General features: G+C 40.6%; 1 protein-coding gene and 1 pseudogene across 18 annotated transcripts in view; both read right to left on the bottom strand.

Annotated features, from left to right (window-relative positions):
- Positions 1–18,472, bottom strand: part of SPATS2 (spermatogenesis associated serine rich 2) — a 160,574-nt gene that overhangs the window by 127,456 nt on the left and 14,646 nt on the right. For 2 of the 17 annotated variants that reach the window (NM_001293285.2, XM_047429406.1), the window contains one exon: positions 12,833–12,916. The exons of the other annotated variants lie outside the window; for them this stretch is intronic. The gene's annotated coding sequence lies outside the window, so the exon portion shown is untranslated. The remainder of the gene's footprint in view (positions 1–12,832; positions 12,917–18,472) is intronic. 17 annotated transcript variants of the gene reach the window in all.
- On the bottom strand, positions 7,635–10,796 carry LOC100335030 (FGFR1 oncogene partner 2 pseudogene; annotated as a pseudogene). Its single transcript, NR_033267.1, has one exon. The product of NR_033267.1 is annotated as an FGFR1 oncogene partner 2 pseudogene (transcript).

Genomic DNA, 18,472 nt, shown 5'->3' with positions numbered 1-18,472 from the left:
CCGCCTCCCGGGTTCACGCCATTCTCCTGCCTCAGCCTCCCGAGTAGCTGGGACTAAGGCACCTGCCACCACGCCTGGCTAATTTTTTGTATTTTTAGTAGAGATGGGGTTTCAACACATTAGCCAGGATGGTCCTGATCTCCTGACCTCGTGATCCGCCTGCCTTGGCCTCCCAAAGTGCTGGGATTACAGGCATGAGCCACCGCGCCTGGCCATTTTTTTCATATTTTAACATCTCTGAAAACCAGGCACAATTAATGACATCTTATAATTGCTATTTGTTTCTTTCAAGCACCTGGGGCACTACCAATCCGAAACAACTTTTAATTAGAATCTCTGTTTAAATTTTGTTGTACCACATAGGGAGTGTGAATTCAGACCTAGAACCAGTTTAAATTCCCATGAAAGTTTTTAGCCCTCCTACACACCATCAAAGTTGAGACACAAGATGCCTTGCTATGCCTTTCTGTATGGTGGGTTTACTTCTCATTTCCATTCTCATGTAGTTTCCCAGCTTTATGCGTGGCCCCTAATAGACTATCCATCTTGGGCTTATTTCTCTTTTCTAGTAGTACATCAAGTAATGGTGTATCTTACAACTGATGAAATCAGAAATAGCAATACAAGTATGTTATTACAGAAATGGAGATAAAAATATTAACTAAAAAAGCTAAAAGTGCTTCTGAGAAAAGGGAAATAAAGGAAGGAGTGCTGCTTTCTTAAAACAAGCTTTACAAAACTATTTGATTCTATAAACCATATTCACACATAACTTTGATGAAAATGAACCCTGAAAACCAAAGGAAAAAAAAAAGAATTATATGCTCTTTGAGAAAAAAATTAGAAAAAAAGACACGAAAACGTATGTGGACATGGGGGAAATGCAGGGGTCAGAAGGTGAGAAGCCCTTGAGTCTGGCAAAGGCAAAATAAAGAGGAAGGACAAAAACAAAAGGAAGAAAAATCTAGGGCAGCTTTGCAAGTACTGGAGACAAAGCATGCTAAAACAGCCTAAGAGAGAAAAAGTCAAAATTGTCAGGCTGTTTTCATTGAAATTGTAGGAAATAGTACAGAAATAGACCTTTTCAAACAAGCTCCCTATTACCTAATGTACATCTCCACCTGGATATCCCACAGGAAACTCAAATTGAACATGTTCCTAGTAAAAGAGCTGTTTAACTCAAATCATTTTCTGGAAAACATGGGGGTTGGTGGGATTTCTGTATTTACATATAAAGGATTAAGTGTGTGAGGGGAAAAAAAGAATATCCGTAATCCAAGTAAATATACCATCAATTAAATTTTCCAGATTTCTCATGTTTGAAAATTTAACACATCTCAACTAAGTTCATCCATTCCCAAGCCTGTCCTTCTTCCCATAGTGCCTATGTGGGTGGCACTACTTGGTCTCCCAAACAAGAAACCCAGGAAGTGATATGCGTTCTTCCCTTTATTCTCCCATCTTCATCCAATACAATCCCGCCTAACCTATTTCTAAATTCTCTTGAATTTATCTTCTCCATTCCACCTTCCTTCTATTAGGACTTCAATCTTCCCTGGAGTACACCAATATTCTGTAACGTTCCAACCAGCCTCCACATAACTGCTGAGGGGATCCTTCTACATTGAACATAAGCCTGTTCGTGTCATTCTCCTGTTTAAAACCCCCTTATATAAAGTTCAAGTTCAAGCTTCTTAGCATTGCAAATAAAATTTTTTATGAACTGGCCCTAGTCTGGCCCCCATCCTCATTTAAAACTACTTATTCATTCATTCATTCAGTCAGCCATCAAATTTTTCTTTTCTTTTCTTTTTTTTTTTTTTTTTTTTTTTTTGAGACAGGGTCTCCCTCTGTCTCCCAGGCTGGAGTGCAGTGGCTTGATCTCACTGCAATCTGCACCTCCTGGGCCCAAGCAATCCTCACACCTCAGCCTCCTGAGTAGCTGAGACCACAGGCTCACACCACTCATTTTTGTATTTTTTTGTAGAGATGGGGTTTTGCCATGATGCCCAGGCTGGTCTCAAATTCCTGAGCTCAAATGATCTGCCCACCTCGGCCTCCCACAGTGCTGGGATTACAGATGTGGGCCACCATGCTCGGCCAATGGATCCTTTTTTTTTTTTTTTTTTTTTTTTTAAAGAGCTAAGAGTCTCACTCTGTCACCCAGGCTGGAATGCAATGACACCATCATAGCTCACTGCAGCCTCAAACTCCTGGGCTCAAGTGATCTTCCCACCTCAGCCTTCCACGTAGTTAACACTACAGGCATGCACTACCATATCCAGCTAGCTTTTTTTTATTTTTTGTAGAGATAGGGTCTTGTTATGTTACCCAGGTTGGTCTCAAACTCCTGGCCTTAAGCGATCCTCCCATCTTAGCCTGCCAAAGCTGTGGGATTACAGGAGTGAGCCACAGCACTCAGCCAGCCAGTAAATATTTATTGAGCACTTATAATATGCCAGATTCTATACTAGGCACTGGGGAATATACTAGTGAGCAAAACAAAATTGTCCTGCACTTTCCTAGCTTACAGTCTAATGGAGGAAACCGCTCAAATACATGCACCCACTCAGCAAACATCTTTTTAATATCTACTTGTATAAGCACTCTTCTCAGGACAGGAAATACAGTGATGAGCAAGACAAAGTCCCTACCCTCAGACAGTTTACATTCTAATAAAAAACTATGATACATGCCATGAAAATAAAGCTTAGGATGCTATGATATCCACAGGGAGAAGGAAACCTGAAACAAACTGAGGAGTCAGCAAAGACTTCTCTCAGGAAGTGATAACTGAGGTCAGAGCCCAAAGATGAGAAGGTAATGATAAGAGAAGAGGTGGTGGCAGTGAAGAACATTCCAGACAGAGGGAATAGCAAGTACAAAGGCCCTGTAGCGAGTGGGAACACAAGGCATTAGGGAAATAAATGGCCAGGTAGCATGGGTAGGAATGGTGCCAGATGAAGCTAAAAACACAGGCACTAAAATGTAAATATATTAATGATCACTGTGTTGGGAATGGATTATTAGGGGTACAAGAGTGGAATCAGAGGAGCTCATTTAAAAGGCTATTACAGAGCTGAAGTCCAGAGCTGAAGACAAATGATACACATGAATACCTGAATCGCTAGGAGTTACAAAAGAGTTTAGGCCACAGGCCATGTACTCAGCCCAAAACAAGATGGAACTGAGCATAAATTAAGAAACAAAAAGGACTGCTCCATCCATGAAATGCGAAGTAGAAACAGCTCTCTAGCTAGGAGAAGAGAAAGCCTTGCATTTGGGACTAGGAATGGAAAAAGTTACCTGGAAGAAACTGGATCCTAGTCCTGCACCATTCACAGATGTGAGATCTAAATTCATACTACACATGTGGTAGAGGGACCCCAAGCTGACACTTTATCATAAATAAGATTCAGAACTAAAGAATGAAATAGTACCATAGTAGAAGCAAAGGAGAAACTATGCAGTAGGGAAGCTTCCACAATCTGAGGTACATAGGACTCAAGTTCAGGGTTAAAGAAAATACACACACATACACAGACAGAGAAACAAACCTCCCACGAGGAAATCAGCAATCAAAGACAGCACCCCAAGAATAAGAACACGATGAAGACAAGGAGATGCTAAAACCCTTGTACACTGTTGGTGGGAATGTAAAACAGTGCAGCTGCTATGGAAAACATATGACATGATCCACTAATCTCACTTCTGGATATTTATCCAAAAGAACTGAAATCAGGATCTTGAGGGGTATTTTCATTCCTACGTTCATTGTAGCATTATTCACAATGGCCAAGATGTGGAAACAACCTAAATGTACATCAACGGATGAATTAGTGAGAAAATATAGTATACACATACAATGGAATATTAAGTTTTAAAAAAGGAAATCCTGCCACATGTGACAACATGGATGAACCCTGAAACACTATGCTAAGTGAAAGCCAGTCACAGGACAAATAATGCATGATACCACTTATATGAGGTATATAAAATACTCAAACACACAGATGCATCAAGTAGCATGGTGGTTGCCAGGGGCTGGGAAGAGGGGGAAACAAAGAGTTGCTATTCAGTGGGTATAAAGTTTCAGTTACACAAGCTAATTAAGTTCTACAGGTCTGCTGTAAAACACTGTCCCTATAGTTAATATTACAGTATTGTACAACAAAAGATTTGTCAGGAGGGTAGATTTCATGTTAAGTGTTCTTACTACCAAAAAGAAGTAATATAACAATCTGGGTCGGGCACAGTGGCTCATGCCTGTAATCCCAGCACTTTGGGAGGCTGAGGCGGGTGGATCACCTGCGGTCAGGAGTTCAAGACCAGCCTAATCAACATGGTGAAACCCCATCTCTAATAAAAATACAAAAAAATTAGTGGGCATGGTGATGGGCGCCTGTAATCCCAGCTACTCGGGAGGCTGAGGCGGGAGAATCACTTGAATCATGGAGGAGGAGGTTGCAGTGAGCCAAGATCATGACACTGCATTCCATCCTGGGCAACAGAGTGAGATTCTGTCTCAAAAAAAAAAAAAAAATCTGAAAAACAAGGTAGTATTGTCTCTAAGATAGGAACAACACAAAGATATTTACTTTCACTGCTTCTCTTCAACATTGTATTGGAGGTCCCAGCCAGTGCAATCAGGCAAGAAAAAGAAATAAAAGAAGACTGGGCACAGTGGCTCACACCTATAATCCCAGCACTTTGGAAGGCCAAGACAGGAGGTCACTTGAGGCCAGGAGTTTGAGACTAGCCTGGGGAACATAGCAAGACTCCATCTCTATAAATAAAAAAATACTTTAAATTAAAAAAATTTTAAATTAAAAATTAAAAGGAATCCAGATTAAAAAGAAAAAAGAAAAAGAAATAAAATTGTCTTTTTTTATCCCCCGAGACAGAGTCTCGCTCTATTGCCCAGGCTGGAGTGCGGTGGTGGGATCTCGGCTCACTGCAACCTCCGCCTCCTGGGTTCAAGGGATTCTCCTGCCTCAGTCTCCTGAGTAGCTGGGATTACAGGCCTCTGCCACCAAGCCCAGCTAAATTTTTTTTTTGTATTTTTAGTAGAGACAGGGTTATGTTGGCCAGGCTGGTTTCGAACTCCTGACCTCAGGTGATCCACCTGCCTCGGCCTCCCAAAGTGCTGGGATTACAGGCGTGAGGCACCACGCCCGGCCTTAAAATTGTCTTTATTCATAGATGACATGATCATCTGTGAAAAAACTATCTGATAAAATCTAAAAAATAATAATAAATGAGTTTAGCAACGTTGCAGGATACAAGGTCAATACAGAAAAATCTATTATATTTCTATATACTAGCAACAAGCAATCACTAATTAAAACTATAAATACAAAGCATTAAATATAAAATTTGTAAAGATAAATCTGAAAAAAAAAAGATGTGAAAGATCTGAACACTGAAAACTACACATCATGGAGAGATATTAAAGACCTAAATAAAAGGAGTTATATATCTATCTGGTCATAGGTTAGAAGATTCAATGTTGTCAGCATGCCAATTCTCCCCAAACTGATTCAATAGATTTAATGCAATCTCAATCAAAATCCCAGCAGACTTTTTTTGCAGAATCCAGCAAACTAGTTCTGTTTTTTTTTTTTTTTTTTGGAGACAAGGTCTTGCTCTGTTCCCCAGACTGGAGTGCAGTGACTCGATCTCAGCTCACTGCAACCTCTGCCTCCTAAACTCAAGGGATCCCTCCCACCTCAGCCTCCCAAGTAGCCGCGACTGCAGGTGTGCACCATGAAGCCCGGCTAATTTTTGTATTTTTGGTAGAGACAGGGTTTCGCCATGTTGCCCAGGTGACATGGGCTCAAGCAATTTTCCCACTATGGCCTCCCAAAGTGGTGGGATTACAGGTGTGGGCCACCACTCCCAGCCCAGCAAACTAGTTCTAAAATCCATATGAAAATGCAAAAGTCCTGGAATAGTAAAAACGACTTTGAAAAAGAAGTTGTAGGGCTGGCCAGGAGCAGTGGCTCACGCATGTAATCTGAGGCAGTAAAATCACTTGAGGCAGGAAGATCACTTGAGTCCAGGAGTTCAACACCACCAGCCTGGGCAACATAGGGAGAACCTGTCTCTATAAAAATAAACATAAAAATAGCAGGACATGGTGGCCTGCTATTGAAAGGAAACAAATAGATGAGCCTCGGTTTTCTTGTGCTATAAAACAGAAAAGCTATCAAAGACTACTGGGGTCACATCAAAAGGACAAAGGAGCCAAATTAAATGGGTTCCCACTGAACTAAGATGACACAATATGAACATCAATAAGAATAATGTCTACGGTGCCTGAAACATATTAAATACATAAATATCCATTAATTTATAATCACACTCTAAAACAAACAAAACACATTAGTCATTTTTGGAGGTTAGTGGGGCACTAAGTCATTTCATTATTCTAAATACGAACAAAGAGAAATAATTCTGCCCTTCCTGTACAAACCATATTTCAAAGTAATAAAAAAGTCAATGAAGGAAAAAGTCTTCTTTATAGAAAAATTCTACCTAATAAATACAGAATAATAATAAAATTAGAAAAAAATCCCTATTTTGTATGCCTTAATGTAAGAATGGATCTAGTCAACAATCAATGGCTGCTAAAATCACTGAATGAAAGGCTGATGGAGAACTTTTAGAAAAGGATGGATAATGTTGACAATACTCATGAAAAGTAGTGAGTGGGAAGAACAGAGGAAACTAAGAATGGAAAAAATTTTAATAATCACTGAAGCTAGATGAGTCTACAGGGGAGTTAATTATATTATTCTTTCCATTTTTATTGTTGAAAATGTCCACAATTAAAAAAAAATACGACTCCAATTGGCATAATTAAGGTGAGACAAAGCACTGGTGAGTACACAGATGTTTCTATATTACTATTTTTTTTGGATGGAGTTTCACAGTTTTGCCCAGGCTGGAGTGAAGTGGCATGATCTCTGCTCACTACAACCTCCGCCCCCTGGGTTCAAGCAATTCTCCTGCCTCAGCCTCCCAAGTAGCTGGGATTATGGGCGCCTGCCACCACGCCTGGCTAATTTTTGTATTTTTAGTAGAGACAGGGTTTCACCATGTTGGCCAGGCTGGTCTCAAACTCCTGACCTCAGGTGATCCACCCAACTCAGCTTCCCAAAGTGCTGGGATTACAGGCGTGAGCCATCGCGCCCGGCCTACTTCTATTTTTATCTGTGGATTTGAAATATTTCTTTTTGTTTGTTTGTTTTTTGAGATGGAGTCTCACTCTGTTGCCTAGGCGCTGGAGTGCAGTGGTGAGATCTCGGCTCACCGCAACCTCTGCCTCCCGGGTTCAAACAATTCTCCTGCCTCAGCTTCCTGAGTAGCTGGGACTACAGGCACCTGCCACCACGCCTGACCAATTTTTGTATTTTTTGTAAAGACAGGGTTTCGCCATGTTGGCCAGGCTAGTCTCGAACTCCTGACCTCAGGTGATTCACCCGCCTCCCAAACTGCTGGGACTACAGGTGTGAGCCACCAACCCTGGCCTGAAATATTTCACAGTAAGCATGGTTTAAGGTGGAACTAAACTACCAAAAAATTAAACAAGATTGAAGCATACAGAAGGAATATAACTTAAAGCATTATTTTTTTAATCACTCATCTTTAATAATAAAATAGGTTCCCATGCAGTACATACCTCAGACATAAAGTTAAGGTTCTGTTTAACAACAACCAAAAAAAAAAAATAGGATGGAAAAGTGTCACTAAATAACAATCAAACCTTAAATTCATATCCAAGCAAAAAGACCAAGAATAAGTTAACCCAACTTGTTTACAAAACTAATTATCTGTCAAGTAATCTTTTACAGTAGAGCTGCCTCAATGAACTGCCTCAGACTTAATCTCAATTGTGTAGCTTATTTCCTTTCTTTCTTACCAGGGATAAAAAGTATCTGAATGAATGTGTCGTTAAATTAAGGGATACTTTCCCAAAAACAATAAAAAAGTTTAAAAATAAAAACTGTCATTTATTTATAAAATATCAAATAAGGCCTCTGACTGAGAAAAGAAATCCATGTAATGTTTGGGCCATTAGCCCTTTTCTATTCAATCAGTCTCATCCACCCCACTCAGCCCAAACTTAAGATAGAAAAATTCTGAAGTGTAAAGTGGTTTTGAATTTCACCAGTATATGAAATTATACATAAAAATTACCATATAAAGTAATATTTATTTAAAAAATTATATACTCAAAGTAGAATTTTCTATTTGTCTTTAATATGCCTTCAATATAAATGAGTATAATATATTTCATCATGTTTGACACTCTTCTTTTATCCCTTTTTACTACAATCACAACATTAGAAAATTTAGGTTTCAACTGATGTTAAAGCACATTTCCATAACTGGTGGCTTTTTTAAAATATACATACTACATACTTGACTTTTTTTTAAAATATACATATTTTTTGAGACGCAGTCTTGCCCTGTTGCCCAGGCTGGAGTGTAATGGCACGATCTCAGCTCACTGCAACCTCCGCCTCCCGGGTTCAAGCGATTCTCCTGCCTCAGCCTCCCGAGTAGCTGGGATTACAGGCACACGCCTCCACGACCAGCTAATTTTTGTATTTTTAGTAGGGACGGGGTTTCACCATGTTGGCCAGGCTGGTCTCAAACTCCTGACCTCGTGATCCACCAGCCTCGGCCTCCCAAAGTGCTGGGATTACAGGCGTGAGCCACCGCGCCCGGCATATTTGACATTTTAAAAGACAACAGAAAACAAATACTTCTAAATCCACAGATTACCCCACCTCTACCCCCGCTTTCAGCTGAAAGGTTTTAAGAAAAATCTTACAGGTTATGAGGACCAGATGGAGTTTAAAAACAGATCCAGAATTTTTTTTTGAAATTTTAATTTAAAAGAGTTCTATGAGCCAGAGGAATTCCCAATTCACTTTGAAATTACCATACCTATTTTGCCATATCAAACACTTCAATTCTGTTAATTAAATGAACTACATAGTATCCTTAAAAATCAGCCAGAGAAGAGAAAAACAAATCTCATCTTCATTACTGACTTCGAACCAAAACTTATTCTTTCAAAGGAGAAGTTTAACCTACTAAAATGTCTATTATAAGATTTTCTTTCTTAGAAAGTAGTATTCCTTCTTTTTCATTCCTGAAATGGTATTTCTTATACTTAAACAAGTTATGGACAATTGTTAGCTAAGTATCAGTTATGGTAAATTGCTAAAATTACCTTTTTTGTTTATGGTACATATAACACATTCCTATAGCCTTTAAAACTGAATTTTCTTTCACAAAAATTTAAATAAATGTGAAAGTAGGTAATCACTAAAGCTGAAGTCTCATGGTACATAAACTTTGTGTTAACTTTAACGCCAAATAAGGATGAAATTTAGCATGCAAATCTTCCATTCACAAAACAGTGGCAAAACTTTATATTTTTAAATTGATATAATTTTATGAATTCTCACATATTTATTGGGAATATTCAAGTTTACCTAATTAATCACCCAGAAAGCCAGCAGCACTGCCAAAAGTTCTATATTTAGTAGTCACTGTGAAAACCTTTCATTTCTTTACCAGTTGGCAATGGCTCAGTTTCTATTTTCCAATTATGTTTTGGAAAAAGGTCTATGACCATTAACTATGCGTTTTTGTTGCTATCTCATAGCCAGTACACTGTACATATTTAAAGAGAAAAAAATAATGGATTGAATTTTCTGTTCATTCATTCATTCACTTATTTGACCACTGGGAGCCATGTAAGAAGCTCACAGACTCAGAAGCTCTTCAGCTCTTCCTCAGACTCAAGTCACTGTTGGTCACTAATGCTGACAAAGAAGTACTTTCCGACACATCTTCTTTCCTTAGGTTCAAAAGTGATTCTCGAGTTATTTATAGGATCTCTCTAACGCCTTTGTTTTCTTGTTCAAGTTGAAATATTAGTTCTTGTTCCTTGCAATCCTGTTGCTTGTCAATTTCAATGGCTTTCTTCATTACTGCTGCCATATTTCATTTATCTGGTCAACATGTGCCTGTATCCTTGGAGTGCTGCTTTTGTTAACTTCATTATTTTTCCCGGATCATCTTTTTTGCTAGCCATTAGCAATCTAACCATTTGTTCTCGATACTTGCTCATCGTAAGTTCCAAGGCCGACTGATGTTCTTCCAGGGATGTACGCAATTCTTTTCTTTCTTGTTGCAATTCTCTGATTTGTCTGTTTTCTTGCTGGATTCCCATAACTAACGTGGACCGTGGCCGATGTTCTTGCGACTTCATTAAGCTCTTGAATTTCTTTCTGATACTGCTTCGTGGCTTCTACTCGCTTATTGAGAGCTGTGGTTTGCTCAATCAGAGTTTCTGCTGCATCGTCGTGATCTCTTAATCTTTCAACAAGAGTTTTAGCATCAGCAAGTGCCTTCTCAATTGTGCAACTCATTTCTAAAGATATATCCTGCTCTTAGTCCCTCGCAGCCGTCAGCTGTGGCGATGAGGACTCAAAGCCTCTACCAACCGGGACCTATGCACCCAAGGGAAGAGACTCCGCGCCCCTAATCTGCCTCCTCAGTTAGCAGACGCTGAACCAGACGGAGGCAGCGGAGGTGTGGCCGTGAAGCCAGTAGCGTTTAGCCCCACCACCGGCGGGGGAGACACCTCTGCTAACCGCCTCCGCCAGGGGCGCCAAAAGGACTCCAGCCTTGCGAGATTTCCTTCCTCGCGTTACGGTGGGGCAGGGCCGAACACTTGAAGCTTTGCGTGAGAAGGCTGGGCGGGGTCCTTCCAACTTAAAGCATTCTGAGGTTCCTGAATTATTCAGGAAGTCAAAGATATTAATCTTGGACTTCAGTAAGTATGCATGTTAAAAATTTAACAGTTAACTACTAAACAGAGAAATAGAATGTTCAACTTAAAAATCAGAAGAAAAAAGGACTCCATATATACAACAGAATGCAAATAAGAAGTGTGGTCACCATGGCTCACACTTGTAATCCCAGCACTTTCGTAGGCCAATGTGAGAGGACTGCTTGAGACCAGGAGTTCAAGACCAGCCTGGCCAACATAGTGAGATCCCATCTCTACAAAAAAATTAAAATTAGCTGGGCATGGGGACTTGTGCCTACAGTACCAGCTACTTATGAGGCTGAAGAGGGAGGATCACTTGAGCCTGGGAGGTTGAGGCTGAAGTGAGCTAGGATTATGCCACTGCACTCCAGCCTGGGCAAGAGAGTGTGACCTTGTCTCTTAAAAAAAAAAAAAAGGAAAAAAAAATGTGGTTCAAGGCTAGGCATGGTGGCTCATGCCTGTAATCCCAACACTTTGGGAGGCTGAGACAGGTGGATTACTTGAGGCCAGAAGTTCAAGACCAGCCTGAGTAACATGGTAAAACCCCATATATATAAAAAAATAAAAAAAATTAGTCCAGCATGGTGGCACATGCCTGTAGTCCCAATTGCTCATAAGGCTGAGGCAGGAGGATATATTGAGCCCATGAGTTTGAGGCTGCAGTAAGCCATGATTGCACCACTGCACTCCAGCCAGGGTGACAGAGAGAGACCCTGTCAGGGGAAAAAAAATTATTTTTTAAAAAAAAAAGTAGGGTTCAAAAAACAAGTATAAATGAAAACAGCAGAAATAAGTGTAAACTATCAGTAATCACATTAAATATGAAAAGATTACATTTATCAAGACAATCAGATTTTTGAAATACAACTATGTACAGCTTACGAAGAAACACTTAAAGCAAAGTAAGCCAGAGGGCTGACAATTTAAAAGATGGTTTAAAAAAATGTGCTACACAAATATTAATCAAAAAATCTTATTGGTATTCATTCATTAATATTAGTAACAGAGACAAAAAGACTTAAAGTGAAAAAGCCAGGCATAGTGGTGCACGCCTGTAGTTCCAGCTACCCAACAGGCTGAGGCAGGAGGATTGCTTGAGCCCACAAGTTTGAAGCCAGGCTGGGCTATAATATAGCAAGACCCTGCCTCAAAAAAAATAAATACTTAAAGCAAAAGGCATTAATATGTGATCATAAAGAGAGAGCCCACAGGATTCATCAAAAGAGAACCCCTTACACCTGCAGTAAGATACTCCTCTCCATTATGAACAGATGTGTCAGCAGGGGATCTAGGTAAGAACGCCCCTGCTCCCTCCCCACACTCCCACCCTCACCTCCAGTGCCTGCCTGCTCTCCACCAGGCCTAATCTCTTCAGGTTCTTTATCTCTGCTTATGCTGTCCATCAAAGAAGCCCCAGACTCCCACATCTCTCATCTCCCATCTCCCACATTCTTTTTTTTTTTTTTTTTTTTTGAGACAGAGTCTAGTTCTGTTGCCCAGGCTGGAGTGTGCAGTGGCGTGATCTCAGCTCACTGCAACCTCAACCTCCCAGCTTCAAGAGATTCTCCTGCCTCATCCTCCCGAGTAGTTGGGATTACAGGAGTGCATCACCGCGCCTGGCCAATTTTTGTATTTTTAGTAGAGATGGGTTTTCACCAAGTTGGTCGGGCTGGTCCCAAACTCCTAACCCCAGGCGATCCACCCACCTCAGCCTCCCAAAATGCTGGGATTACAGGCATGAGCCACCACGCCTGGCCTCATCTCCCACATTCTAATCCCCACACTGTTCTGCATATCTCTAGTTCCGTCTCCATGTGTCATCCACCTCTCCAAACTTTGAAGCGCTTTCCCTACATTTTCAGCATCTTCTTTGAATATTCCCTTCAACTTCTTGCTCTAATTAAAAGCCGGTTCTCCTCTGGGGCCACACTGGCCTCTGGGGCCCTAAAGTGGTGTAAGTTACCTTCCCCATACCTCTCATACCACTGGACCTGGGGGTGAGTAAGTGTCCTCTTTGCTCCTCACAGATGTTTCCAAATCAGTCTCCCTCCTTATTCCCTAAAAAAACACAAAACCTTACATCGAATATCCTATAAAAATTCTATTACCCAATACCTGGCTTACTGTGACCTTCTACACTACTATCTTAACTCTCAGTGATTTCACAAAGATGATCTTTCCATACCGTATCTCTCTGAATTCCTTGTCTCAGTTCTTTAAATTTCTCACTTCCACTGATCTTGTCCTTTACCCACTCATCCCATGATCATGCTTTCACAATATCAATTAGCTCCCACTGTCCAACAATAACCCACTATCTTCATGGTTCAGTCTCTCACATACCCAAACTCCAGCAGCTTCTGATCCCACCAGGACCTTCCATCCATTGCTTCTCCCATCTTTTCACTATCTCTTAGCCACTTCATGTCCTCCCCTCCTTACCCGGTTAGAATTCCACAGTATATTATACCACTCCCTTGCATACACAGGTACCCTCTATCCCTTGCCCTTCTCCTGCTTTGTTTGGCTATCTTGGCAAAACCCCTCCCTGGTTAAATTCACTCCAAACATACACCCCTGCAGCTGAATATGGCTGGAGGAAATAAACCATACTGACCAATCTCACTTTAAATTTATAACCACAGAGGCCGGGCACAGTAGCTCACGCCTGTAATCCCAGCACTTTGGGAGGCCAAGGCGGGCAGATCACCTGAGAGGTCAGGAGTTTGAGACCAGCCTGGCCAACAAGGTGAAACCCCGTCTCTACTAAAAATACAAAAATTAGTTGGGCATGGTGGCGCACGCCTGTAATCCCAGCTACTGGGAGGCTGAGGCAGGAGAACGGCTTGAACCAAGGAGGCGGAGGTTGCAGTGAGCCGAGATGGCACCACTGCACTCCAGCCTGGGTGACAGAGCGAGATTCTGTCTCAAATAAATAACCACAAGCTGGGCACAGTGGCTCACACCTGTAATCCCAGCACTTTGGGGGCCGAGGCAGGCGGATCACTTGCGGTCAGGAGTTTGAGACCAGCCTGGCCAACATGGTGAAACCCCGACTCTACTAAAAAAAAAATACGAAAATCAGCCAGGCATGATGGCATGCACCTGTAATCCCAGTTACTTGGGAGGCTGAGGCACAAGAATCACTTGAACCTGGGAGGCAGAGGTTGCAGTAAGATCGCACCACTGCACTCCAGCCCGGGAGACAGAGCAAGACTCTGTCTCAAAAAAAAAAAACAAAAAACAAACAAACAAACAAACAAACAAACAAAAAACAAAAAAAACCCCACAAAATTGTAACTGCAAACCTCAAGGGGCTCTCAATGCTCCCTGGCAATCACACAATATTTCCCTGCTGCAGCCATTCTCCCATTCTCCTAAACAATTTCACACCTTTTCCTCTTTACACAAACCTCCATCACCCTCCTCATCCTCACTCTCAGCTAAGCACTTTATTTCCTAATTCACTGAGAATATTAAAACAATCGTAAGAAAATTTTCACAAACTCCCACTGCCAATTCAATCCACCTACTTGATGGGTGGGCTTCAGATATATTTTGAAGATTAAATCAATAGGAATTGGAGACATATTTGATGTGAATTATAAGGAAGAAAAGGAAATCAAAGACAATTTTTAGATCTTTCCTCAAATATTAGTTTCTCAACAAGGCCTTCCCTCACTACATCTGAATCTGTCTCTGTCTCTATCTCTGTCTCTGCCACACACACACACACACACACACACACACACACTTATATACTTACATGCTCACACAGTCTCCCCCTCCTTTGGGAGGGTGTTTTTTTCATGGTTTTTGTTTTTTTTTTTTGAAATACCATTTATTACCCCGTGAAATACTAAACATTTCACTCCTTCGCTTAATATCTGCCCTCTCCACTAGAATATAAGCTGCATTCAGGCAAGAATTTTCATGCTTAGTTTACTCCTATGTACCTGGCTCATAGTAGGCACTAAGTAAAACTTTATTAAAGAAATGAATGGACTGGGTGCAGTGGGTCACACCTGTAATCCTAGCACTTTGAGAGGCTGAGGCGGGCAAATCACCTGAGGTTGGGAGTTCCAGACCAGCCTGACCGACATGGAGAAACCCCGTCTCTACTAAAAATACAAAATTAGCTGGGCATGGTGGCGCACACCTGTAATCCCAGCTACTCGGGAGGATGAGGCAGGATAATTGCTTGAACCCGGGAAGCGAAGGTTGCGGTGAGCCAAGGTCGCGCCATTGCACTCCAGCCTGGGCAACATGAGTGAAATGCCGTCTTAAAAAAAAAAAAATGAAAGATTTTTGGCATGAGCAAACGTATGGATGATCGTATTTACACAGAAAAAGAATAGGTGTAGGGTGAGAAGAATCATGGTCTCTGTAGGAGGGAGCTTATAATCTAGTGAGAAAAAGACACTAGATTGTATTTGAAACATACATTTACAACACATTAGGGTTCTATGATTTGTTAACTGATGAAAGCAAAATTGCAGTATGTTGTATGATCTCACTGTTATCAAAAAACATTTATGCATGCTTTTATATATACATACACACTTGCACACATGTAGGCACATACAAACACATACATACATGTTTCTACATCTATACAGAAAATGTTCTGGTAGGAAAAATACCAATCTGTTAGTCTGTGGGGTAAGAACAGTACCATGTATGGGGAATGGGACTAAAGAGACAGTAGGGAGACTTTCACTTTTCAACTTATACATGTTGTACAATAAGCATATTACATTTGAAATTTTAAAAAGAGAGAAGAAAAAGCATCATCTGCCTAAAAGGAAAAGAAATCATATTTAACAAAGGATTAATATCCAGAATGTAGCCAGGCACAGTGGCTCATGCCGTAATCCCAGCACTTTGGGAGGCCGAGGCAAGAAGATTACTTGAGGCAGGAATTCAAGACTAACCTGGGCAATATACAGCAAGAGCCCATCTCTGAGATTTTTTAAGACATTAGTGGAAAAACTGGAGGAATCCAAATCAAGTCTATAATAGTGTACCAGTGTTAATTTCTTAGTTTTAATAAATGCCCTATGGTTATGAAAGATGTTAACATTAGGGGAAGCTGAGAGAAGGGAATATGGGAGCTCTTTGTACTATCTTTACTCTTCTGTAAATCTAAAATTATGTCAAAGTACATTGTTTTTAAAAAGTAAAGCAATTTAGTAGTATTCACCAAAATGTTTAGAAGAGCACAACCTTTCACCTAGCAATTCACTTCTAGCAACCTAGAGATTCACACATGCCCGACAAGAACCATATAAAAAAGTGGTTCATTAAAACACTGTTAGAAACACCTAGATATATCCATTAATTGGGAAATGGTTAAATAAAATGGTATATACATTTTATGCAATAAACACCATGCAGGAAGAATAAAGTGGGTCGGGCAAGATGGCTCATGTCTATAAGCGCAACACTTTAAGAGGCTGAGGTGGGAGGATCACCTGAGTCCAGGAGTTCAAGACCAGCCTGGGCAATACAGTGAGACCTCGACTTTACAAAAAAATTTAAATATTAGCAAGCATGGCCTGTAGTCCTAGCTACTTGGGAGGCTGAGATGGGAGGATCACTTGAGCCTGTGTGGCTGAGGTTGCAATAAGATGAGATGATGTCACTGCGCTCCAGCCAGGGTGGCAGAGCAAAACCGTGTCTCAAAAAATAAATAAAAATAAAGAGGATCTGACATAAAAAAATTTCCAAGACACATATATTAAAAAGAAAAAGTTAAAGAATATACAAAATATCATTAAAAAAATACATACAATCCAGGCATGGTGTCTCACACCTGTAATCCCAGCACTTTGAGAGGCCGAGGCAGGCGGATCACCTGAGGTCAGGAATTCGAGACCAGCCTGGCAAACATGGTGAAACCCCCTTTCTACTAAAAATACAAAACATTAGCCAGGCATGGTGGTGTGCGCCTGTAATCCCAGCTAGCCGGGAGGCTGAGGCAGGAGAATCGCTTGAACCCGGGAGGCGGAGGCTGCATTGAGCCAAAATTGTGCCACTGCACTCCAGCCTGGGTGACAGAGCAAGACTCTGTTTTAAAATAATAATAATAATAATAAAATTTAAAAGGCCGGGCGCAGTGGCTCATGCCTGTAATCCCAGCAGTTTGAAAGGCCAAGGTGGGTGGATAACCTGAGGTCAGGAGTTCGTGACCAGCCTGGCCAACATGGTGAAACTCCATCTCTACTAAAAATACAAAAATTAGCCGGGCATGGTGGCGTGCACCTGTAATCCTAGCTACTCAGGAGGCTGAGCCAGGAGAATCACTTGAACCAGGGAGACACAGGTTGTAGTGAGCAGAGATAGCGCCATTGCACTCCAGCCTGGGCAACAAGAGCGAAACTCTGTCTCAAACAAACAAACAAACAAAATACAAAAATATACACTTTTAAATAGGCATATAAGTGTAAGCAGAACAATCTGAAGGCACAGACAAGGCTTATAACAGAGGTTACTTCTGGAGAGAGGAATGTTAATTAGGACAGTGTTATTTGGAAAGGGCTAGTGTTAGGGATCAAAGTAAAGGGGACCTTTTGCTTCACACACTCTACATTTTTGTAATGCTTGAATTTTTTCATTACTCATAAATTACCCTGAAGTAAAAGATAAGATGAATAAGCACTTCATACGGTATAAAAATTCTTGTATCAGCACAAAATATCTTTGGAAGGATAAAAAAGAGAAAGTGCTATCCATGGGGAAGAAAACTGGGAGACTGTCTTCACCATTTATTTCTGTACTGTCCAATTTTGTTTACTGCATGCATGCACTGCTTTAAAAATTTTTAAGTGCATTTTTAAAACTACACTAGGATAAGTGCTATTGTGAAAGTATGTAACAGATGTAACAGATTTTAATGGCTAAAAGCAGCATTTGAATCCACCCGAAAGACTTCAGTGAGGTTTGAGGAGTCACCAACTGACTTGGACGGCATTGCAGGCAGAGTTCACAAAATAGGTATAGGCACAGAGGCATCGCAAGAGACAGGAGAGTTCAGGACAAAGCTGTGGAGCACAGGGAGAGAGGGCCTTCAGAAGATATCTGAATCACCAGTTCCTGAATGCATACAGTTTCCATTGCTTATTCAAAGAAAATAACCAAATTTAGACTTACATATGGCTGTTTGTTCTGCTTAAAAGCTACTGTCTCACTCCAAATCACGATATAATGAAACGGCATATCTACCTATAAACCTGGTAGAATATATTCATCAGTTCAAGATGGTTCAGTCCCAACTGGAGGATAAAATTCTAAATTACTTTGGATCACCTATTCTCATCTATCTTCTTTTGAACACCCCATAAAACCAAGATGCAATAAGCATAAAACAATGATAATACATCAATCACATACTATTAAATATAAAAAGTAGGCTTCTCTGACCCAGGTTTCAAAAAATTCTCATTGTGGCATTTATAGCAAATGTCGCATAACAGGGCAGAATGAAGAAAGATGATCTAAATCTCAGCTAAAACTAGAGGCACTATTGCCATTAATTCTTAGGAATTAATTAAACATTGATAATATACTGATTTCTGCCAAAGATAAACTGATTTTATGTATACACGTTTCTAA

The sequence above is a fragment of the Homo sapiens genome, chromosome 12, assembly GCF_000001405.40.
Source record: "Homo sapiens chromosome 12, GRCh38.p14 Primary Assembly".
NCBI classification, from domain to species: Eukaryota; Metazoa; Chordata; class Mammalia; order Primates; family Hominidae; genus Homo; species Homo sapiens.
Note: the sequence above shows the minus strand (reverse complement) of the source record. Positions and strands in the feature narration are given on the sequence as shown.